This window comes from Homo sapiens, chromosome 1, assembly GCF_000001405.40.
Source record: "Homo sapiens chromosome 1, GRCh38.p14 Primary Assembly".
Classification (NCBI taxonomy): Eukaryota; Metazoa; Chordata; class Mammalia; order Primates; family Hominidae; genus Homo; species Homo sapiens.
This window is the reverse complement of record NC_000001.11, coordinates 179,002,507-179,003,035: the sequence shown is the minus strand read 5'-3', so window position 1 is coordinate 179,003,035 and position 529 is coordinate 179,002,507. Positions and strand designations below refer to the sequence as shown.

General features: G+C 56.7%; 1 annotated feature.

Moving 5' to 3' along the window:
- Nucleotides 1–100: a silencer, noted in NCBI's record as "silent region_1582". NCBI's record gives its function as "represses an Ori minimal core promoter by ATAC-STARR-seq in GM12878 lymphoblastoid cells {active_cell/tissue: GM12878}" and the evidence as "EXISTENCE:reporter gene assay evidence [ECO:0000049][PMID:35858748]".

The following is a 529-nucleotide window of genomic DNA, read 5'->3' as shown; positions in this document are numbered from 1 at the left end:
GAACGAGTCAGCAGGCCCTGATAGGGCCAGGTCCTCTCCCCAGGGTCTTGTGAAGTGAGCAGGGACAGAGCAAGGTCGGTCAGGGAGGGCCTGCAGGGGTCGTTTGGCCAAAGGACCGTGCCGGGGCCTTTCCTCTCTCCCCGTGCTGCACCTCCAAACATGACCACACGGGGTCAGTGTCCTTTCATGCTTGAGTTGGTGACCCCAGGGCTCTCTCTGCAGGGTCTTTCTGCCGAGTTGTAGCTAATTGTACAAAAACTTCCCCGAGGCTGGGAGCAAAGTAATCTTTTACGCCAGAATGACCCAAGGTCAGGGTGAAGAAGAAGAGCAGCAGATTGTTTTCACAGTCATGTTGTTTCACTGAGAGGGGCCCCTGGAGCCCTGCATGGATGCCCTACACAGGCCGGCTCAGAGCTCTCTGGCTCATTAGTAAGCACTCATTCGGGCAGACGGCTGGGGAGGCGGGAAGGCCAGCCACAACAGGGAAGACGTCTGAATTCCGCACACTTAAATCCCTCTGGAACATTCA